This window comes from Homo sapiens, chromosome 12 (genome assembly GCF_000001405.40).
Source record: "Homo sapiens chromosome 12, GRCh38.p14 Primary Assembly".
NCBI classification, from domain to species: domain Eukaryota; kingdom Metazoa; phylum Chordata; class Mammalia; order Primates; family Hominidae; genus Homo; species Homo sapiens.
In genome coordinates, this window is record NC_000012.12 from 9,065,133 (window position 1) to 9,089,817 (window position 24,685).

The window sequence follows — 24,685 nt, forward strand, 5'->3', positions numbered from 1 at the left end:
CCTGGAACATTCCCTTCCTCCCCCCCCCCCCCCCCGCCCCCGCCCATCAGCCCAGCCTGCAAGGAGGCGCCACCGGACCTGCACACTCAGGAGCAGGTGAGCCAGGGACAAGCAGGAGCCCCGCCCCTTCCGAACTGGTGGAGCAGGAGCTCCCAGGGTGCAGCTGCAGCCACCTTGCCGCGGCTGTGGACATTTTCTGTGCTCTCAGAGGCCCAGCAAAGTCCCCTGCCCACTGCAGGCTCCAGGGTGCCTACTCCGGCTGCCTGGCTTCTCTCCACTGTTAGCACCCACTCTGAACTCAGAGCAAGGTCGGGCCGAGCCTGGGTACTGTCACAGCCTGGCCGAGCGTGCACACGCTCAGGACAGTGCTGATACGCCAGCCCCCTGCCGTCTCGGCCCCCTTTGGAACTTGGGCACCAACAAGCGTGGGAGGGAGGCTGAGAGGGGTCTGAAGACAGCTGGACACTGACTTGCAGGCGCTCCTTGGCATGAACAGCCTGGGAGCAGGAGGCAGACAGGTTCCTGGGTGGAAGGGGATGGGTCCCCAGTGAAGTCCCACCCTCAAGCTGGTGAGGGCTTGAAGCCTGCAGACCAGAGAGGTAACTTGTGGTGCTGCTCCCTGGGCCCACTCATGGCTGCCCATGGACCAATCAGCATGCATTTCCTCCCTCTGAGGCTCATAAAATCCCCCAGACTCAGCTAGATTGGAAGAGAGGATGGGAAGACAATGGATGACCTACCTGTGGAGAGAAACTACCCATTCCAGAACCTCCTCTCTGCTGAAAGCTGAACACTCAATGGGAAGACCTGTTTGCAGAGAGGAGCCAGCCACTCCAGGGTCTCCGTTCTGCTAGAAGCTGAACACTCGTTGGGACACCCTTGCTGTGGAAAGGACATCCTTACTGTGGAAATGAGCTACTAACTGCAGGTCTCCTTCCTCTTCATCTTCCTTATCCTTCTGTTCCATTGCTCAGTAATGCTCCTCTTCATCTGTCTCATTCTCCACTTGTCTGCTTGATGCAGGAGCTGAGGAGCTGCACAGCAAGGTTAAAAGAGCTGTAACACAAACAGGGCTGCAACATGCCCCTTGCTCCCCACAGGGAGAGAAGAGCTCTGGCCCTCGGAGAAGCCCAGACCTGGGAGCTCCTTGAGCCCGGGCTGTGACTCCCTCTTTGGGGCCCTGGTTGGCGTCACTGCATTCGCCAGTGCCACTGTTGGAAGCTGCTTGTGATGCGCCTGGTCCAGGGGGAAGCTGTTTGTTGTGTGCCTGGTCCAGCCACCTCATGGAGAGCCTGTGCTGGCACCTGGAGCTGCCCAACCTGGGCAGCAGCTTGTGTGTGTGACTGCACAGTGGCCACGCTTGCTCACACACCCCTAGCACACCCCTCTGCTCCACCCGTCTCAATCTCCCTTGGATCCGGGATCCAGGTTGGTAGCAAGTGCGAGTGGGCAGAAGCAGCCCAGTGGGCCCAGAGCAAAACTCAGGCAAAGGTGCCACTAGACTGGCCAGGAAAGCGACACCCTAAAGATCCCATAATGCTGATATGTTAATTCTATTCTATAAGCACCACACAGAAGTGATAGCTTTTATTTCTTATTTTGTCTAGCCTGGAGACAGAGCTAAGGATTCCTTGAACTGCAAAGTCTTTTCCAGTTCTTAGTTTATACAATCCATACTCACCTTCTGCCTAACTAAGCATTGTCATTTTTGTGCCAAATGAAGAGTAGGACTCCTACGATTGTCCTCAGACTCTCTTGGCTCAATCCTCCTGCTTTAACCTTTCCTACTTCAAAAACTCCTGAAGTTTTGCTTCCCCTTCTATAGAATGGAAATATATGTCGCAATACTTACTGCAAAGAAAATTATATATTTTAAAAATAGACTAAAGAGATGTTGTGAGACATCAGACATCAATCAGATGTTGTGAGAACTGATTTCTGCATCAGAATATCTCCTTGACTTTACAGCTATCCTTTAATCCTGGCTCAAAGTTCCAGAAGAAAGATGATCCAATATAATACTCCTATTTGGACTTTGAGTCATACACATTCCTTCTTCTGAGAAAACGTGCTTCTGCATGAATCCTCCCTTCATTATTTTCAGCTCATCTATTATTGAATCTGAAACCCCAGGTTAACTGACTGATCACTCTCATCAGTGGCAGATTTTGGTGTAACATAGGACACATCACTCCCAATTCAGGTCAAGTCCCAATTATCTTGCCTCTCAATATGACATGTTCAATGTTGTATTTCATTCTACTTCATTTTAATGTAAAAAGTCTTTTCTGGTGAAGTCAGTCTTTTATTTTCTCATAAAAATTCACCCTTTGGGTTTTTCATAGGGTATTCCCATAACCAAACACACTTTACACTTTCCTAGTACATAACCCAATACTTTCTTCTTTCCCCACAGTCCTTACATGAAGCCTACTCAGACCGACATCACTGTATCATTTTTTTGTATTCTGAAGTCCTTCAGCACTTGATTCCTTTAAGTTTAATCTTGGTATTCTATTGGGAATCATATGGAAATGTACAATGATATTTATTGAATGAACAGGAAACAGGGAAAGACATTGACCAGAAAAAGTGTTTATTCATCAAGTCTTTAAAGATACAAAAACACGTGTCTTCTGTGGAGCTCTGAGAACAGGACTCCAGCAAAGCACTTTTCAGCCTTGTGGTCTTCAAGCATTTCCAAGATCTGTGACATTGGAAAGAAAAAAAATTAAGACAGATTTGGGTCTCCATGAGCAGAGAGTATTCTTTCCCTTAGTTCTGGGTAGCATAGTGCCCAAGGAAACCTAATCAGTACAGTGGGAAACCAAATCTATTCCAAATCATTACCCATAAGCAATCCTATGGACTCTCTGAGGTTTGACAGAGTCAGCGGCCCTCTCCAATAAATGTGTTTTTCTATAATAATGTGCAGTGTGAGTAATTTGATGTTTTTGACAAATATTTACCCAGCGTTTTATGAAGGAGAAGGTTTGGGGGGCAAGCTGAAGGAGCTCTGACTGCCTTTTGGAGGAGTGTGAGTGGCTTACCTTTGCTGCAAGGAGCATTGTACTCAGCAATTGCAAACTCATCTGAAAAAAAAAAAACCAACAAAAAACCAGAAATCATTACATGAAGTGAGAAAGAAAGCAAACATCTGTGGGATACAGGCCAAGGAAGGAGTTTGTTGTGGGAAGAACAGTATTGTACCAGAAACATAAGCATCATTCATCTGATGTGTTGCTTGCTACCTTATATTCTCCTTTCAAATATAGTGTTTTATATATTCTTTTATCCCAAACTCCTGAAGGACTCTTCAGATGTTCTACTTACTTAAATCTCATATTGTCATACAGTCCATTTATCTGATGAAAAGGGAACTAAATATCCCACAGGTGTTTTGTATTAGTAGTTGATAAATTTATAATGTAGGTTGTTTCTATAATGTATGTATAAGAGACAAAAAGAGGGGCATCAGACTTGATGGAGACAAAATGAAGTGATAATGTAATTACTTAATGTAATAAATAACCCCAACACATCTCCTAAACCTGAATTTCTGTGATCAGGAATTAAATATTTCTACGTGAAAATCACTCTCACTCACCCGTCTCGTAGTAATCATAGACTTTCACTATGGCTGGTTTCAGATCTCTTACTGGGACATCTTGCAGAACCGTGAAGAACAAGCTCAGTGTCTGATTTGACACCTGGAAAGCAAAAGTCAATTAAATGACCTTTCAGGAAGCTTTCTTCTCTCTTTGAATTAGTTTAAGTATTCACCTGTTTTTTGGGGGAAAAGCTTTATTATCCTACAGCACACTATAGGGTCCTTAATTAAATTGTGCAGAAATCTCTCAGAGGGGATGATAAATTCTCCAGATTATTTCTTAAATAACTAACATAACGCATATACCTCTGTCAATGCCAATACATAGCTCTGTTCATGGGGGTAAATGATATATACTTTTTATTGGATGACTAACTGTGTTCATTTTTTAATATCCAGAGATTTGGTATAGTTTGACTTCTCTGTCTTGCAGGAATACTTGCGTAGACTCAAAGAGGCATCTAAAAGGTTGATCTTCCCAGGCTTAAGTTTCATAAAATTTGTAAACTATAATTCCCATCAACTTATGCATGAACAAACTCTCCTACCACACATATCTATAAAATCAGATTGGTTTACTGGTGAACTGGTCTTATTATTTTATGGTTCAAGTCCTTGTGGAGACTGACAGTTTTTTTTCCCTTTCATATTGTTGTTGAGTATGTTGATAATTAACTAATAATTGACTAATCACAAGGGCTACTTCCTTATATTACTGGGTATCCAAAAAACTTGTCAACATAATAAACACATTTTGTGAAGATTTCTTGCTTATGGGATTTTAGGAATATTCATATCCCAAGATCATAATAAGCCATTTCTACCTGTAATCCCTGGTGAAATATAAATAAAGGAGAGAAGAACATTCTTTTAGAGTTAACATTAGAATTCTCAAATTTCTAGCATGGAAGTGATGTTTCTAAAATGCATTTACCTTCCCAGATGTTCCCTTAGAGGATTATTATCTACGTTTTTTTGCAAATAGACTGGAAGTTCTCTTACCTTATCAAGGTAAATCAAGACATGGTTGCTGCTGACTTCTGTCCGGCTCACATGGTTAGATCTTTCAAGCTGAAGAAAATTGAAATACCACAAATGTTAATAAATAGATGAAACCCCTGGGGGATCCAGAGAAAAAATCTTTGTATTGCCAAAATAACCCTGAGGGTAGAATTCTTCAAATGCTTTTTGTAAGGAAATATATAATGTAATACAATTAAAAATGAAAGGCATAAAGGGTTTACTATTAGTATAACACACGACTAATGTGTAAAGTTATTTATCTGAAGAAAAGACAGCTAAGTATCCTAAACTTGGTAGTTACTCATATTTCAAAGTTCAATTCAGTTTCTATTTCTTCATAAGGAGTTTTTTTCCTGTTTTGCTTGCTCTATTTTTCTTTTAACTTCTGTAATACTTATAGTTTATGCCAATCAGTCATTTTCATATTTTTCACTGGTTCGTGTTCATATCTTTTATCTTCTTAGCAAAATTCTAAGCTAAGAAGAAATTGAAAAGCAGGAACCTGCTGACAATCTTTTTCTTGTAGTCATGGGTCCTAGCACAGTGCTCTGCACATGGTCAGCATTCATACAAACACATGTGATTATATTTCTGAGCTGGAAAAAGGATAAGGCTTTGATAGAGATTGACTTTAATAGTATTTTGATATTAGTATTGTCTTATGCTGGGGATACATACATCATTAAATAAAATAGGGCAGTCTGGGGTTATGATAAACCTACCATTTTCACTGTTGGCTTCAGGGGAATGAAGCCAGAGACCATCTTCACATCAACGATCGCCATGTTGGAGGCAGAGCGGCTCCCTGTGTAACTGAGGATCCAGGGGAGGAAAGGATTAGGGTTTTCTGTGTTTTTAAATATTTTCTTCTTCTATGTCCATGTTAAGCATTCCACAGCTCTAAAAGGTACACGTAAGTCTTCCCAAATATCTTATCCCAGTGGTTTGTAAAAGTGGTGTGCGTAGAATTTTTAGGAAGCCTGTTAAAGCCACAGAGACCAGGCCCTACTCTAGACCTGATGAATCAGAATGTCTAGTGTATGGGGGCTGAGGATCTGCATTTTTTTTTTTTGATGGAGTTTTTCACTCTTCTTGCCCAGGCTGGAGTGCAATGGCATGATTTCGGCTCACCGCAACCTCCGCCTCCTGGGTTCAAGTGATTCTCCTGCCTCAGCCTCCCGAGTAGCTGGGATTACAGGCATGCACCACCACGTCCGACTAATTTTGTATTTTTAGTACAGACGGGGTTTCTCCATGTTGGTCAGGCTGGTCTTGAACTCCCGACCTAAGGTAATCTGCCCGCCTTGGCCTCCCAAAGTGCTGAGATTACAGGCGTGAGCCACCACGCCCGGCTGAGGATCTGCATTTTAAGAAAGCTCTACAAGTGATGCACAGGCTGTTTGTGACCTCTAATCTATGCCAGTTATTTTATTTATTTGTTTACTTTTATTTTCTTTCAGCTGACAAAATGATGTATATTATGAATAATAAATTTCAGTCTACATTATTTACAAAAACAACAATAATTTATAATGTTTACTTAAACACTGGCTTTCAACAAAACACTTAGAAACACCTAGCGTCTTGTCCCCGAGAGTTTGCATCCGAAATTTGGACTGCTTAATTTATTTTTTGGCATATATATACACCAAATTAAATGAAAAAAATATATATATATATACTTAACTTTTAGGTTCAGGCGTACACATGCAGGTTTGTTATATAGGTAAACTCGTGTCATGGGGGTTTGGTGTACAGATTACTTTATCACTTGGGTACTAAATTTTGCACTGAATTGTTGTTTTTTTCTGATCTTCTCCCTCCTCCCATCCTTAACCCTCAAGTAGGCTCTGGTGTCTGTTGTTCTCCTTTTTGTGTCCATATGTTCTCATCATTTAGCTCCCACTTACAAATGAGAACATGCAGTGTTTGGTTTTCCATTCCTGTGCTAGTTTGCCAAGGATAATGACCTCCATCTCCATCCATGTTCCTGCAAAGGTCATGATCTCATTCTTTTTGATGTGTGCCAGTTATTTGTTACATGTATTTTGTCCTAACTTTTTTCCTGAATAGTATCTCCAACCAAGTAATAATATGTTTGTGGAGAGAGAGTTTTTTATCAGATCTGCAGCTATTTAAATATTGATGCATATAAGTGTATCTTCCCCCCAAATTAATTATATCATATATAACCTGAGATTTATTATTGCCAGTAGGAATTCTAACTAAGGAGTCACTACTTCCTTCTATTCAAACTTTTCAATAATTCTTCATCTCTATCTTCAATAAAGCAAGAATAATATAGGATTTCATTACATAACAAGGAATTCAGGTCAGAGGCAATGGGTAATATTTACTTAGTTGTTATTGAGGGAAATTATTACCCTTTAAACAATGAGGTTGCACAATAGTAGATCCTGGATGGACAATGTAAACCCCATCATTGAGAAATTATATCAACTTAAGAGAATACATTGCATTTTTTGTGAATAGTGCAAATATCTACTGTTGCACTGCTTTACTTAAAGAGGAGTTCCCGAAAGAAGACTGGTGGTTATTCTTAGGATTAGGTGATAGAGTCAGAAGGTCTTACCTGACACTTAGGGAGATTTGGAAGCTGGTGTGGGCTTTGGGTTCATCACAAGTTTGAGGCAGAGTCTGCACTCCTAAAGCAAAGGGGAACTCTTCCTTTTCTGGGAGAATATTGTATTTCAAGGATGTCTATAGAACATCAAAGACAAAATCAGTTTTTTGCCCTTTCCCAGAATTCCTGTCCACGTCCCTAACCCTTTCTCTGATCTGTCCCATTGTTTTCTGAGTTAGGACTTCTCAGAGAGAACAGCTGCTGTCCTCATCTGTCCTGTCCTCACCTGCCCAAGAGTCTCACCTGGAGGTAGACACATCCTTCTCCTGTCACTTTCATGCTGTATTCCCCAGGCAGCTCTGGCAATGAGACCTGCTGCAGTAACAGGCGGTTGTTGTTGTCCACTTGGAATTTGCTGGAAAATGTCCCTGAAGACTGGATAGTCACCTGTGCAGCCTTCCCAGTCCTGGTAAATGTGGCTGCTCCATATTTGGACAGAGCATGGAGAGCCACCACTGTGTCCTGTTAGAGACAGATGAGTGAGAGAACCCATTGGGCATTATAAGGCTTTGAGGGCTGAGATATTTTTCAAAGACCCATGTGAGGGACTTTGATTTCCTACTTCCCTCACTACTTAAATATAGGAGCTGTAATTTCAAGATTGATTATAATCTTTAGATAGTTGAAGAACCATAACATTCACATATCTACCTTGGACTGTATGCCCTACATGTTTATTTTATTTATCAGAAAATTGATCCTTTTCTCTCTGTAAGTATATGTGGGACATGGAATGTGGAAAACATGTGAATGGCAATCAGTTATTGGCATCAGCTATTTGCTAACATGTCTTTCTTGACAACTATGCTCATATCTGCCACCACTCAAGCAAAGTTCAGTCTGGCTCTCTCCCATATTAAACTTTGCTCAGTTGCTGAGGTCAGTGTCCTGGAGAGAACCCAAGGTTCTTTGCAGCCATGAGCAGAGTCATGCTTCAGTTTCTCCAAAAGAAATAAAAGATGAGTATTATAATTATCTTCTGGATTTAATGACATTTTTATTTGGCTTTCCCTTTTTATTGGATGATTTCCTGTTCCCAGTGAATGTCTGCTGGTATGTATCCTCAACAACATTAAACCTGCTTGGCCTCCTTCAAATAATATGTTTCTAATAAATGAATGATAACCTTTAACAAAATTACTTAGTTTTTTTCATTCATATGATAAAAGATTAATACAATGGAAATAGGATGGAATGCCATTTTGTCACATTTTTTCCGTTTTAGGGTATATAAGCAAACATCCGAATTCTCTGAAGATAAAACTTTCTGCTGTGTACATATCAATGAATTGTTCAGATACATGGTTATATAGCTAGATTTAGGAGGTTGGATGAATAAAGACAGTTCTTTATGCTCCTGATGAATAAATGTTTGTGTATTAAGAGGTGAATAGGGGGCTGGACGCAGTGGCTCACACCTATAATCCTAGCACTTTGTGAGGCCAAGGCGGATGGATTGCCTGAGCTCAGGACTTCGAGATCAGCCTGGGCAACATGGCAAAACCTCGTCTCTACTAAAAATACAAAAATTAGCCAGGCATGATTGCACATGACTGTAATCCTAGATACTTGGGAGGCTGAGGCACTAGAATCGCTTGAACCTGGGAGATGGAGGTTGCAGTGAGCCGAGATTGCACCACTGCATTCCAGCCTAGGTGACAGAGCAAGACTCTGTCTTAAAAAAAAAAAAAAAAAAAAGGTGAATAGGGGAAGCACAAAATGTGTAGTTTTGAGAAAAGCCTATTAAAGGGGACCTAAGAATGGAGAGATTTGCGAGGAGAGGTTGTTGGATTTTGAGTAGAGTTCCTTTGAACAGTTTGAAAGAGACCCTAGAGCTTTCAGGAGAATGGCAGGAGACATCTCCTTCATTCTGCTGGTGCTCCACTGCTGCTTGAGGAAGGCAGTGTTGTTATGGGAAATAGGAGATGGATAATAACACAGCGATGGGGTGCCGGGATTCTGAGCATTTCCTTTTGGCCCTCTTTGACTTTGATTTGCTTTTATTTCCATTATCCTTGGATACTGAAAACTTTTCCTCATTTCAAGTTACTGTCATCTGTATTTTTTTCTTCTTGGATGTGTTTGTTTCTTTTTCATTCAAATCTTTTGCTACCTGAAGGTGAAATAAAAGGTTTTGGCAAATCACCAACCTGGGTGGAGGAGAAACCGCCCTGGGCATTCTGCTGCTTCGTGATCCACTTCACGATGTTGGTTGCAGAGGTCAGGTCCTCCGAGGTTGGGGCTGGCTGGGCCGTGAGATAAGCGAGGAGCACATAGGATGTCATCTCCACCTCAGCAGAGGGAGCCTGGGGTTCGTAAAAATGCCCCACTGGTGCCTTGGGTTTCTGAGGGCGCTCCCAATGGACAGAGTTGTCTTAAAGATGAGAAAAAGATATTTATAAGTGCCTACATATTTATATTTAATTCAAGGTGAAAGTACCCAAGCCAGTGCTGAAATGAGAATTGCATGCCCATTATAATCCCCTGTACTGTATGTAGATGCTTTTCCCTTCATGTAAATCTGAATTTGGTGTGTTTTAGCCCAGCTAAGGCAGATATTGATGCTGGAGTCAGAAGCCTATGCCTATCTATGTTTTCAAATCGTTGCTATAGTCGGGTTGGTGGGAGAAAGAAATGGCACAGCAGTTGTCTCATTGAGTCTGGCTATTTCCTATTTATGATGTTATATTAGACTATAGCTGGAGTTTGTTACATTTCCTATAAAGTGTGTCTTTATCAGTTTCTTGTGAGGATCACAGATCACATGAAATAGTAGAGTTTCTACTCATTAAATTGAAAAAAAAAATACAGTAATCCTTGAAATACCAAAGGCTGACATGGATGTGAAACAATGGGAACCAATATACACTGCTGTGGGAAGCCAACTGCTCTTTGGCAATATTCAGCAATGGGGAAGATGTGCTTAGCCCACTAATCAGTCATTATGCTTCTCAAAGCATAATTTGGAGAAACACAGATGCACAAGAAAACAGGCACATGAGTATTCATTGCAGCATTTTTTTTAATAGCAAAACATAAAAAAAATCCATGAGGAGAAACTCGATGTGTAAATTATGACTAATTTATAGACTGTAATATATTATGCAGCAGTGAAAATTAATGAGCTGACTCTGCACATACTTGTATAGGGGTCTTCATCAACATAGTGTTGAACTTAGAAAATAAAAAGCAGACAAACAAAAAACTAAGCTGCTGAAATATTCAAAAATGTTTCTCTTGTTTCTTGAATAAGAGAGAAATAAAAATCTTGTTTCTCTCAAGATGAAACACATGTGAAGATTCTAAATATTAGTTAGGGATACATATGCAGCAAAAATATAAGGAAATCCATGGAATTGTAACGACAAATTCAGGATAATGATTGCCTCTGGAGGTGGTAGTGATACACAAGGGATTTATTTTTCCCATGTCGGTAATTTTCTATTTCTTAATCTATGAGAGAGTTGTACAGTGTTTTCTAGTTATAGCTTATGCCCTTTTGTATATCTATTATAAAATATTTCTCAATACATTTTAAGAAGAATTAATGGCTGTCAAAGGAAAAAGGTAGACTGTTTTAATGGACATCTTGTGATTTGCATTTTATTTTCTATTTCTTCAACCGCTCATATAGACCATGGTATATGTAGAAGTACTGTGTGAATATGAGTAGATTGGTCAACATTATTGGTCTTATGAAATGGGCTTAAAATACCAGAATTCATTCAAGGAGTTACTTCCATGATTATTTTCTTATGTTTAAGGTTATATAATGTACCAGGTAAGGGTTGGGCATATATTGAGAACTGATATGTTAATTGTAATAACTAGTACTTTTATAGGATTTGCTATGTGACATGTACTCTACTAAGTGTTTTACGTGTACCAATTCATTTATTACAACAGCTCTGTGAGGTAAATACTATTATTATCCCCATTTTACTGATGAAGGAACTGAAACACAAGGAAGTTAATGACTTTCCCAAGCTCACATAGGTAGCACATTTTGGAGCTAGTCTCCAGAGAATGCTCTTCTTACCAGCATACTATAGAGATGGTCCCTGACTTACAATGGTCCCACTTAAGATTTTTTAGACTTTACAATGAGTTTGTCAGGATATAACCCCATCGTAATTGAGAAGCATCTGCACGGCCTCTTGTCTTCTGATTTCTGATTTGATTAAGAAATCCTAGATTTTATAAGATGCAATATGGACAAAATATATATGATATATAGAAAAGAAGAGAGGAGACAGGGATCACAGGAGGTAGGAGTGAGGGATTTTTGCCATGCAGTTCTTGATACAGAGGATGGGCCAGGAGAAGGATCTCAGGTGTGCTCTCACCTTTCTTCACAGCTTCCTCATTAAGTGACTTGAGTACTTCCTTCCTCTTGTCCTGGTTACCTGCCAGGGCAAAAGCATAGGCCAGCAGTGCTTTGGTATATACATGGCTGCCATGGTCCCCTTCTTGTGCTGTCTTCCAGGCTGACTCCAGGCAAAACAGGGCATTGCGGACAACAGGGTGCTGTGAAGGCAGAACAAGAAGGGAACTAAGCTATGTAAACAGGCATATTAGCATTCCCAGGCAAATACACGGATCACAGCACAGAAGTTTTTCAAACGCATTTTTCCAACGATTCCTCATTCTTATCAATAGATATAATATTATTTTTATCTGTTATTCTCACATTCAAAAGATACATCTTTAAGATTCTTTTTTGAGTGGTGGTGGTAAATAGCCTAGGGGAATTACTGGGAAAATTTAAACCTTTCTTAATGGGCTGACCAAATTCTCTGTAGATCTGGGAAGCACTGGCATTGCATAGAAAGAAAGCTGATGCTTTGCTTTTAATAGGATAGTATTTCAGACAGCAGGTCAGCAGTTTCATTGCATCCAGAACTCTCCTTCAGCAGAGGAATGGGGTGGTACCTACAGTGACTGTGAGAGGAATCTCCAGAAGGGCGATGGTGATATAGGCGGAGAGGGTCACTTCATCTTCTACTCCTCCCTGTGAATACGAGAGAGAGATCTGAATAATTCAACTTCTGAGAATGCTATTGATTAGTTCTTTCTATTCTGCTGTGTCATGGAATTCATCCTTACCCATATCCATCCCTATAGGGCAAAGTATCACAATCAACTTTTGTTCTATCCCCTCTTTTTTGGTGCCATCCAGGTTTTATTTTCCTCTGAGGCTTTCCCTTAGAATTTTTCACATTATCACTTCCTATCCTCATCCTTGCAGATATCATAATGGACAAATCAAAACTAGCTCCAGAATGATTCACCTTTATGGCATTGTTGAGCAGTGACCCAGAGCTCCTGAAACAGCCATTGTCCTTCTGCCTCTGGGAGAGCCATATGAGGGCTTGGGTAATGTGTGCTTCATCGATGAAGATGTAGGCTCGAGCTTGGGCAAAAGTCTTCAGAACAAAGGCTGTGAGCCTGACCAGGGAGGAAGCAATCATGATGTTTATGTTGTCAAAATGGTTTTATAACCACTTCACAGCAACAGGCTTCATATGATGTGAGTTAGCTAACAAAATTCTTGTGTACTTAGAGAGCTTATCTCCTTGATTAATCTTTAGTCTGCCTGATTAATCTGCTAGATGTAGTATTTCCTTGCTAACTCTCTCTTTGCCACAGGGAGTCTTAGTATATTTAATTTTATTTTAGTTCCGAGATACATGTGCAGAACGTGCAGGTTTGTTACATAAGTATACGTGTGCCATGGTGGTTTCTTGCACCTATTGACCCATCCGCTTAGTTCCCTCCCGTCACCCCACACCTCCCAACAGGCCCTGGTGTGTGTTGTTCCTGTCCCTGTGTCCGTGTGTTCTCATTGCTTAACTCCCACTTATGAGTGAGAAATGTGGTGTTTGGTTTTCTGTTCCTGTGTTAGTTTGCTGAGGCTGATGGCTTCCAGCTTCATCCATGTCCCTGCAAAGGACATGATTTCATTTCTTTTTATTGCTGCATAGTATTCCATGATGTATATGTACCACATTTTCTTTATCCAGTCTGTCATTGATGAGCATTTGGGTTAGTTCCATGACTTTGTTATTGTAAATAGTGCCGCGATAAACATACATGTGCATGTGTCATTATAGTAGAATGATTTATATTCCTTTGGGTATATACCCAGTAATGGGATTACTAGGTCAAATGGTATTTCTGGTTCTAGATCCTTGAAGAATCGCCATACTGTCTTCCACAATGGTTGAACAAATTTACATTCAAGTAATTTGAATGTACTTATTTTTGTTAGTTACTTGAGTAAGGCTTTAAATCTCTCTTATCTTTAGAGATTTCCTTCTGCAGATGACAGAATCTTCTCACATGCAGCTCTTACATGCAGTAAATTTTAATATTGCTTTACTTTAGGGATTTAAAAAAATGTTTTATATTACTGTTTCCTTCTCAATTGTTTCCTCTTATTAATGAATTCATTCCAAGTCAAGCTGAATGACTTAGAATGTGACAATATAAGCTGAAGTTAACATGGTTTATCTGGAAGTTATATATGTTCACTGGCAATATCATTTTAAAACTCATGGTTATGGTAGCTACTTTAGAAAGAATAGCCATTTCAGAAAGAAAACCTTGGTACATTATTAATAGGATCCATTTTGGAAACAAGCCTAACATAACATGTATTTGGATATCAGGTTTTCTTCTGATTACCTTGCTAATCTTGGTGGATTTATCTAGTATAACAAACCATCGGTCTGATAATACATATCTGATAGTGTTGCTGTGAATATAATTGAGGTAATACATGTAAAAGAGCTGGCACACAAAAAGAAGCTCAAAAAATTGTTCTTTCCTTACCAGGTGTTGCCCTGGTTCCTGCCATATCGCTCCCCAAAGGTGCTGTAGGAGCCATCATAGTGTTTGTAGTTCAACTGTCTCTGGTAACCTGGAAAGGAAGATTAACGAAACAGCACAATGGATTAATGTGCATGCTGAGGGTGGAGAAATTACTAAAAGTACCTTGGCTTCTCTTGTGACATTTCTTAAATTTTGTTGTCATAGATTAGGAGTTTCTGAGCCTTAAATATTTTATTGGAGGTTGGAGAGTGGATAGTTTCCTTGAAATTAACTATCATAGCAGCTATCATAGTGAGCTAAGCTAATGTATCATAATATTCATAAGTAACTGAAACCTACTGGGAAATCCAGTTGAAATAACATTCAAGTTTTCCCTTACTCAAGTAATCACTCACCAGTGTTGAGATAGCCAATGGCCTTGGACTTGATCTCTGGAGTAAGCTGCTGTGTTTCATTTAGATAATCCAGTACATAGATGTTAGGAGCAAAGAGGACCATATTCTGCTCTCCACAGCCATAGGGCATCTGGAGAAGATTTTGTGTGTTTTGCATGGCAGAGCCTAATATGTCTCCTAGAGAATGGGAGAGATGGGAAGTCATAAAGCTTGGAGATTATCATCTATCAAAGTCATTAAGCAGAAATAATTAGTTGAGCTTAGAAATTGAGAATTTTTAGGAAGGATGATTCTTCCAGGGATAGAAGTATGATTGAAAGCAATAAACAAGCCCAAAGAAGAAGAGAAGAAAGAAGTTAAAATTATAGTATTATTTTTAGTAAATATTTATGGGAAATAAAAATAGTATAATAGAAGCTGTTAATGCCCGGATCCACTAGGGGCTGGAGACTCACCCAAAACTGAGACAGAAGCTCGGGCAGATTCTTCTACCACATTTGGTGGCAGTTTCAGGGATAATTCTTCAGAAACCTCACCACCTAGAGAAATAAGCAAATCAGACATATGAAAATTATTTCTGCATTATATCTTTCTAAACAGCTCTATGACCCAGAAGCTAGGACTATGCCTTATACCTAAACTCCTCCTGAAAAGTTGTCCGCCTTTAATACAACAGTAATATATAAATATCTTAAAAATGGGCTACTGGTTTCCTGTGATTTTCAGAATTTCTTCTTCAATGATCTTTTCAGTAATTTATGTAGAATCGCATGCCAAATAAGACAACAAATTGTAAGAGCCTGGTGATGTTGTGATTCAGTTGCTGTCATCTGATGGCTGACACAAGACGGTTATCACAAGATGATCTATTTAGTTCCCACCACCAACTTCCTTACTCAACAGTTGTATGGAGAAAACACCAACAACAAAGCCCTATAAGTATACATAAGTAAAATTACCCACAAAAGGTCCTGAATTCTATAATAATGCTATGTTCTTTCTTCAAATTTCATATACAAAGATAGTATTTTTATGGAAAACCTAGAAAATTGAGGGTAAGGAAGTGAAGACGAACAGTATTTGATGCATTGAAAATAAAATAATTACTACTCATGAACATACATTTACTTCCATTTTAATCTTGGTAAATTATATGAAATGAAAATGAGAGAAGTATGGTATTTATTTTCATACTGAATCCCTTCCTCATAAAATTCATATTAAAATGTTTCTTAAAAAAAAGCCATAAGCATAGTTAAAGGACAAATGGCTAAGCAAAATAAAATGCTTGACTCACTGAAAATAAAATAACTGCTACTGATGAACATACATTTACTACAATTTTAGTATTGGTGAATTATATACAAATGAAAAATGTAGCAGTTATCTTCCCTTTCTCATAAAATTAATGTTAAAACTTTTGTAAAAAAACAGATGCCATAAACAAAGTTAAAAAAATGACCAAGTGAAAGAAAATATCTGCAACATATTCAACAGATAAAGAATTAGTGTCATACAACTGAGTCAGAAAAAAACTACTCAAAAGACAAATAGCCAAAGATTATAAAGGCAATTAATAAACATGCAAAAATAAGGTCATCCTTGTAATTAAGAAAATATAAATTAAAACAACAGCAAAATTTTTTTTTCTAAATTTTTGGCAAAAATTAAAATTAAAAACTTTGATGGTAACAGATGATGGCAAATATAACACTATGGAAATGTATCCTGGTGGAAGTATAAATGCATTTAGGTAATAAAGAGGAGGATTTTCGTTTTGTAGTTCAATTAAAATTCAGAATAAAGCAAGATGATGGACTAGAAAGTCTCAGGATCTTCCTCCCTCCACAGAAAGTCCAACTAGCTGCTATCCACAGATCAGAAAATCTATTTTGAAAACCCCAATACTTGGAAACAAGTCTAGGACACCTACATTGTTCATAGAACTGAGTGAAGACAAATTAGAAGAGTAGGAAGAATGGTCTCACTTTGACCATGTCATTGTTCCCACTCCTTTAGGTTAGCACAATGCCAGATAGAGAGGAGTTCCCTGGGGTCACAGTTTCTACAGCGGGGAAGAGAACCAGGGGTAGACATCAAGATTCTCAAGTATTCAAAGACACTTCTCAGGAAGCCCACTCTGGTCTCATTTCACCGGGAACACAGGAAGTAATGAGGTCAGGTAGAAACAAAGAAGGACAGAGCTCACAGTGACCAGCATGTGGATTTTGGTAGTGCTTCTGTGTTTCTGCCAGCTATGGCACCCATTCAGAGATACCAGCCAACTGCATAGCCCATCTGCAAAACTGAGCTGGTCACTTTCAGAAGCATGTTGGGAAGTTCAACCTAGCTTGAGTTTCCAGATGGCCAGTCTGTAAGCCCAGCTTCAGAGGTTATGCCAGTGACCCCACCCAGGTAGCAGACACCACCTCTGTGTATTTCATAGAAGTGTAGGGGTTAAATATGCTTGACCTGGGAGTCTAAAGGGTAGCTCAACTCAGCCAAAACCTCACTCCATGGCTCCATTCACAAGGGTGGGGTAGCAATCCTCTATTATGCACATCTAAGAAGTATAGTATTTATTTCTGCCCATCCCAAGCAACAACTCTACCTAACCTCACAGCCCGGATTGTGACCCTGCCTAACTTCAGGTCCCAAATAGCAGAATCATCCAGCCAGGCAACACATCTTGTGACTGGCCTGACCAGAGGCCATTGTAGTACCCAGCCAGCAGCTCCACCAGATAGCAGAGACAAAACAGTGATCTTGCCAGAGAGCAAGGCCCAACCAGTGGCCCTACCAAACATAAGAGCAAAGGCAGTGGCCCAGCCAACTAGGGAACCCATGAAAACTCTGCCTGCTCAAGGTTGTCACCAACTGATCTTTCCAGAATTATAGGCTAGACTAAATAGCAAACCTTTATCCCTGCCAAAGAATACCTATAAAAACCAGAAGAAGTGGCTTTCTCCTCAAATGCACAAATAATGCAAGGACACAGGATTATGAAGAATCAAGGAATGATGACACCTCCAAAAGAAACTGGCCAAGCTCAAAAAATTGACCTCATAGAAATAAAGATCTATGAAATCACTGACAAAGAATTCAGAATAATCCTCTTGAAGAAATTCAGTGGACTACAAGAATATATAAATACAAAATTAAATGAAATTTGCAAAACAATACACCAACAAACTGAGAAGTTTGACATAGAAACGATTGTGAATAGTGCCACAATAAACATATGTGTGCATGTGTCTTTATAGCAGCATGATTTATAATCCTTTGGGTATATACCCAGTAATGGGATGGCTGGGTCAAATGTATTTCTAGTTCTAGATCCCTGAGGAATCGCCACATTGACTTCCACAGTGGTTGAACTAGTTTATAGTCCCACCAACAGTGTAAAAGTGTTCCTATTTCTCCACATCCTCTCCAGCACCTGTTGTTTCCTGGGACATGGATGAAGCTGGAAACCATCATTCTCAGCAAACTATTGCAAGGACAGAAAAACAAACACCGCATGTTCTCACTCATAGGTGGGAATTGAACAATGAGAACACTTGGACACAGGAAGGGGAACATCACACACCGGGGCCTGTTGTGGGGTGAGGGGATGGGGGAGGGATAGCATTAGGAGATATAGCTAATGTAAATGACGAGTTAATGGGTGCAGCACACCAACATGGCACATGTATACATATGTAATAAACCTGCACATTGTGCACATGTACCCTAGAACTTAAAGTATAAAAAAAAAAGAAATAGAAACAATTATCTGCAACTTAGCTAATATTGTAAAATAAAAAATAAATAGAAACAATCAAAAAGAAACCAAATAGAAATCCTGGAAATAAAGAATACAATGACTAAAATTAAAAATTCAAAGTAAGCTCAACAGCAGACTTGATCAAGCAGAAGAATCAGTGAGCTCAAAGATAGAGTATTTGGAATTATCCAGGCAGAAGAGCAGAAAGACAAAAGAATGAAGAAAGCCTATGGAAATTATGGGACATCATCATGAAATCAAACCTTTGCATTAAAGAAAGTCCAGAAGAAGAAGAAAGAGACTATAAAGCACATTTAAAGCAATAATGAAAAAAAAGAGTATAGAATCAGAAAAAAAAAAAAGCAGTAAGGGCTGAAAACTTCCCTAATTAGGGGATAGATGCTAGCATCCAAGTACAGGAGGCACAGAGGTCTCCAGTGAAATTCAAATGAAAGAACTGCTCACTAAGACACAATAATTAAACTATCAAAAATCAAAGACAAAAAAAAATTCTGAAAAGCAGAAGGTGATAAAGAAACATATCACATACAAAGGAATTCCAATACAACTATCCATGGATTTTTAGCAGTAACCCGGCAGGCTGAGGGAGAGTGGAATAATATATTCAAAGTACTGAAGGAAAACAAAAATAAAAACAACATGGAATCAAGAATTCTTCATCCAGCAAAGCTGTCTTTCAGAAATGAGGGAGAAATAAAACATTCCCAGACAAACTAAAAGCTAAGGGAGTCGTCAACATTAGGCCTGCCTTCAGGAATTACTGAAGGGAGTTCTTTAAGCTGAAACAAAAGGCCCCTAATTAATAATACAAAAACACAAAAGCACAAAATTTAATGGTATAAGTAATATAGAGCCATATTCAAAATACTCTATGACTGTAATGATGGTATTTAAAGCAATTTTATCTCTAGTACAAGGGTTAAAAGACAAAATATTAATAACAAGCATAGCTAAAAATAAATTGTCAATAAATACACATTACAAAATATGTAAATTCTGACATCAACGACATAAAATGTGTGTGGGGGAGTGAAAGAATGCAAAGTTAAGTTGTTATCAGCTTGAAATTGACTGTAAACCCCATAGTAACAGCAAGGCAAAAATCTTTAATAGAAGCACAGAACAAAAATTTTAAAAGATTCAAATCATACCACTACAGAACATCAGACCACAAAGGAAGACAGCAAAAGAGGAACAAAGAAGCAAAACAACCAGAAAACAACAAAATGGTAGTACCAAGTCATTTTTAAATTAATAATTACCTTGAATGCAAATGGACTAAATTCCCCATTTAAAAGACATAAAGTGACTGAATGGATTTAAAAAAACAGGACCGAAACATATGCTAATTACAAGAGACTCACCTAATTTTTAAGGACACACATAGACTGAAAGTGAAGAGAAGGAAAAAGATGTTCTAGGTAAATGGGGACTAAAAGAGAGCAGGGGTAGCTATACTTATATTCAACAAAACAGACTTAAAGTCAAAAACTGTACAAAGAGACAAAGGAGAACATTATATAATGATAAAAGGGTCAATTCATCAAAAGGATATAACAATTGTAAATCTATACATATCCAACATTGGAGCACCTAAATATATAAAACAAATATTAAAGGTTGAAGGGAGAGATATGTTGCAATGCAGTAATATCAGGGAATTTCAACATCTCACTTTTAAAAATGGATAGATTATCCAGAAAGAAAATTAATAAGAAAACGTTGAACTTGACCAACACTTTAGATCAAATAGACCTAATGGATACATACAGAACATTTCATCTCAAGCACACAAGAAACATTCTCCAAGATAGATCATATTTTAGCCCACAAAACAAGTCTTAGCAAATTTAAGAAGACTGAAATCGTTTCATCGTATCAAGTATCTTTTCTGACCACAATACTATGAAAACTAGAAATGAGTAACAGGAGGAATTAGAAAAAATTCACAAATATATGAAAATTAAATGACATGCTCCTGAACAGCCAATGGGTCAATAAAGAAATTTAAAAGGAAATTCAAAAATATCTTAAGACAAATGAACATGGAAATGGAGCATAACAAAACATAGCATAAAGTAAAAGCAATTCTAAGAGGAAAGCTTATAACAATAAACACCAAAAAAGAAGAAAAATTTCCAATAAAGATACTAATGATATTCCTCAGAGAAGTAGGAAAAGAAGAACAAAGTAAGCTCAAAATTGGCAGAAGAAAGGAAAATAATAAAGATTAGAGCAGAAATAAATCAAATAGAGACTAGAAAAAGAATACAAAAGATCAATGAAACTGAATTGTTTTTTTAAAAAGACAGACAAAAACTTTTAGCTAGGTTAGCTAAGAAAAAAGAGGGAGGCCTTAAATATATAAAATCAGAAATGAAAGAGAAATTATGGCTGATACCACAGAAATACAAAGGATCATAAGAGACTATTATGCATAAGTATACACCAATAAATTGGATGATCTAGAAGAAATGAATGCATTCCTAGACATATACATACTACCAAGACTGAATCATGAAGAAATAGAAAATCTGAACTGACAAATAATGAGTAAAGAGATTGAATCAGTAATAAAAAGTTTTCCATTAAAGAAAAGCCTAATAACTGTTGGCTTCACTGCTAGGTTCTACTTATCATTTAAAAAGAATGAATACCAATCCTTCTCAAACTCTGCCAAAAGCTGGAAGAGGAAGGAATACTTTCAAGCTCATTTTATGAGGCAAGCATTACCCTGATACCAATGTCATAAAAAGACATTACAAAAAAGAATTACAGACCAATATTCTTGATGAATATAGATGCAAAAATCCTCAATAAAATACTAGCATAGCAGCTAAGCATGGTGGCATACACCTGTGGGTGGCTGAGGTGGTAGGATTGCTTGAACTCAGGAGTTCAAGTCCAGCCTGGGGAACACAGCAAAAGCTCATCACTTAAAAAACTAAACCAACCAACCAACCACACGAAATAAACTAGCAGACTAAATCCAACAATACAGTAAAAGGATCATCTACCTAGTCAAGTGGGATTTATCCCTGAGATGCAAAAATTGTTCAACATATGCATATCAATAAATGTGATACATTACATTTACAGAATGAAGGGTAAAAACCATACCATCATCTTGTTAGATGGAGAAAAAGTATTTGACAGAATTCAATGCTCTTTTATGATAAAACTCTCACCAAATTAGATATACAAGCAATGTTCCTCAACACAATAAAGGGCATGTATGATAAACCTATAGCTTACATATTTAACAGTGGAAAATTGAAAGACTTTCCTTTAAGATCTGGAACAAGACAAGGATACCCACTGCCACCATTTATTTTCAAAGTAGCACTGGAAGTAGCAGCAAGAGCAATCAAACATGAAAAAGAAATGAAAAATATCCAAATTGACAAGGAAGAAGTAAAATTTTCACTGTTGGTGATGACATTATCTTATATATTGGAAGCTCAAAAGACTTCACCAAAGGGCTGCAAGAACTTATAAATGAATGCAATAAAGTTGCAAGATACAAAATTAACACATAAAAATCAGTAGTATTTTCTGTTCACTAACAATGAATGATTGAGAAAGAAATAAAAACAATCCCATTTACAATAGCTATAAACAATATGTAGAAATAAATCTAATCAAGGAGGTGAAATGTACAGTGAAAATTATAAAACACTGATGAAAGAAATCAAAGAGAACACAAATAAATGAAAAAAAATACAATGTTCATGGATTGGAAGAATTAATACTGTTAAAATGTCCACACTACCCAAAGCAATCTACATATTGAATGTAATCCCTAACAAATTACTGATGTCTAGTTATGGAATCATAAGTGTCATCAACAGATGAACAGATAAAGAAAATTTGGTATATACACATAGAATTCCATTCCATTTTAAAAAACAAGAACATTCTGCTATTTATGGCAGCATGATTAAATCTGGAGGAGATTATGTTATGTGAAATAAGCCAGGTATAGGAAAACAAATATTGCATGTTCTCATTTGTATGTGGAAGCTAAAACATTCAAATTCACAGGAGCAGAGAGTAGAATGGTGGTTATGGAGGATGAAGCTGGAGTAAAAGGAAGGTGGTGTTCAAGGGACACAAAGTCTCAGACAGAAGGAATACATTTTTTTCTTTTTGGGATCTATTGCACAGCATGGTGAATATAGTTAATAATAGTGTATTTTATGTTTCAAACTTGCTTAGAGAATTTCAAATGTTCCCACCACAAAACATAAGTATTTCAGGTTAGCTTGATTTAATTATTTCACATTTTATTCATAAATCATAACATCACTTTGTATGCTGTATATATATACAATTATAAATGGTCAGTTTACAATGTAATTAAAGAACAACAACAACAACCAACCAAACAAAACTATGCATATCTATGCATATGCTCTCTGACTCAGGAATTTAACATTTTGGATCTACCCTAGCTGTACTTGCATATGTTCATTAAGAGGCTCTTATTATAATTAACTAACTAATTTTTTAAAGCTAGTGAATAGTTGAAAAAACCAATATAGGAAGACTAAAACACTAAGCAGAATTGTGATGTATTTATATTATAGGCTTAAAAGCAATTCCAAGGAAAGACCTAGATCTACAATTTAACATAGGTAAATCTCCAAGACAGGATGCTGAGTGAAAAACAAACAGTGATTTATAGAATGAAACTTATACAGTTTATTATATGTAAATCACACATCCACAAACATATACATCTACACACATTATTTCTAAAGATAAATGGATGGCAAAGTACTGAAAAATGTTCAGGGGGGTGACATTAACCTTTAATGTGATGTTCTGTTTTTTTTTTTAAAGAAGAATATATTTTTGTAAAATTAGGTAGGCACATTTGATTATGTTGGTAATTAAAATGAAATTTAGTAAAACTATTTGATGATTAGCCCTTACACTTAAGAGATACATCAAAATGAGTAACTCAGAAACGGAGAAGTCATGATAAAAGGATTGAATGATAGGTAATCAGTTCACTTAAATGTAGAAATAAGGCTAAATGACAAGGAAGTTATGTTTTTAGGGTACATTTTATGTGTTACATCTTGGCAACAGATGAATAGATAAAGTATTTAGTACGAAAAACATACTAAATTTGTAGGTAGTCAGAGAAAGGCAATGAACCTATGTATGATGTTGATTCAATGTTGGTTTGGGGTGAGAATGCATTGTGCTGATAAATTTCTTAGTGTATTAAATTTTTCCTGTAAGTTTCTTCAGTTCCTTCTCAAATGTTTGATAGGGCATTAGGTACGGGATAGGCATCAAACAGATATTAATATGACAATAATGGTAAAGGCCATGACAACTTTTCCTTTGGGAAATAGCAATCCCGTTATCAAATACTGTTGGCTATGTAAAACTCAGTGTTAGAATGCCCTAAATTCAGCCGTCCATAGTTTGCATTATTAATTATTTAAGGAAACATCCCTTTTGGTAATATTAATTTTGATTCTACCCACTTTCTACCTATGCCCATACCATACACTGGTCAGAAAGTCATTTGGTGTTTGCACAGGTGCTGCAAAAGATCAAGACTCAGAATGCAGGCCTAGGGATATTCTGATCAAATTACTTGGCCTTCCTAAGAACTATTTTCCACATTTGTCAAATGCATTGATGGTGCTTCAGGTCTTAGATCACAGAGAAAGTGTAGGAATAATATATAAATGTTCTTTGAACTTTAAATGTTAGACTTTAATGTTTTTTAAATTATGATGGTTGACTCTTACCTGATGGACAAAGTAGGGAGTTGAATGTTGTTTCCTTCTCTAGTCCTTCAGGCTTTAGGTAAAAGAAAGAAAAGCTAGTGAGAATGGACTGACCTTCAGAACATGTGTTTTAATGGAGGGACCACAGATATTTGGATAGTGAAGAGAAGGATTTGAACTGTATTATCTAAGAAAATTCTGTACATATAAGCAATATACGTAGGAGGTAGTTCGATGCATGAACAAATGAAGGAAAAATTAAGAAAGTAAATCAAAGGGAGGCTGTGCATGGTGGCTCACACCTATAATCCCAGCACTTTGGGAAGCTGAGGTGGGCAGATCACTTGAGGCCAGGAGTTCGAGACCAGCCTGGCCAACGTGGTGAAATCCTGTCTCTACTAAAAATACAAAAACTAGCTGGGCGTGGTGGTGCACACCTGTAATCCCAGCTACTCAGGAGGCTGAGGCACGAGAATTGCTTGAACCCAGGAGGCGGAGGTTGCAGTGAGCAGAGATCCTGCCACTGCACTCCAGCCTGGATGACAGAGCAAGACTCTGCCTCAAAAACAAAAACAAAAACCCCCAACAAAACAGAAAGTAAATCAAGAGAGAGATAGGACAGAGAGATACATGAGAATA

The 24,685-nt window shown here is 37.9% G+C and overlaps 2 protein-coding genes and 1 long non-coding RNA gene across 11 annotated transcripts in view; 2 read left to right on the forward strand and 1 right to left on the reverse strand.

Moving 5' to 3' along the window:
- KLRG1 (killer cell lectin like receptor G1) overlaps nt 1-24,685 on the forward strand; it is a 265,527-nt gene that overhangs the window by 115,089 nt on the left and 125,753 nt on the right. The gene's annotated exons all lie outside the window — the stretch shown is intronic.
- A2M-AS1 (A2M antisense RNA 1) lies at nt 45-2,923 on the forward strand. Of its 3 annotated transcripts, NR_026971.1 has the most exons (3): nt 45-96; nt 694-928; nt 1,024-2,923. It is a non-coding gene; the product is annotated as an A2M antisense RNA 1 (long non-coding RNA). The 3 variants fall into 3 exon arrangements; NR_137424.1 differs by having other exon boundaries at nt 676-2,923; NR_137425.1 differs by having other exon boundaries at nt 694-2,923.
- The window catches only part of A2M (alpha-2-macroglobulin), a 48,522-nt gene continuing 26,412 nt past the window's right edge, over nt 2,576-24,685 (reverse strand). For 4 of the 5 annotated variants that reach the window (NM_001347423.2, NM_001347425.2, NM_000014.6 and 1 more), the window contains 15 exons: nt 24,068-24,119; nt 14,962-15,045; nt 14,507-14,683; nt 14,112-14,199; nt 12,569-12,725; nt 12,214-12,288; nt 11,624-11,804; nt 9,428-9,651; nt 7,521-7,739; nt 7,227-7,354; nt 5,356-5,446; nt 4,613-4,681; nt 3,608-3,710; nt 3,051-3,092; nt 2,576-2,707 (listed from right to left, as the gene is read on the reverse strand). In NM_001347423.2, coding sequence (NP_001334352.2) covers nt 2,691-2,707; nt 3,051-3,092; nt 3,608-3,710; nt 4,613-4,681; nt 5,356-5,446; nt 7,227-7,354; nt 7,521-7,739; nt 9,428-9,651; nt 11,624-11,804; nt 12,214-12,288; nt 12,569-12,725; nt 14,112-14,199; nt 14,507-14,683; nt 14,962-15,045; nt 24,068-24,119 — 1,707 coding nt within the window. In that variant the 3' untranslated portion in view covers nt 2,576-2,690. Of the gene's footprint in view, nt 3,093-3,607; nt 3,711-4,612; nt 4,682-5,355; nt 5,447-7,226; nt 7,355-7,520; nt 7,740-9,427; nt 9,652-11,623; nt 11,805-12,213; nt 12,289-12,568; nt 12,726-14,111; nt 14,200-14,506; nt 14,684-14,961; nt 15,046-24,067; nt 24,120-24,685 lie in introns of all 5 variants that reach the window. The other variant, XM_006719056.4, reaches the window with a different exon arrangement.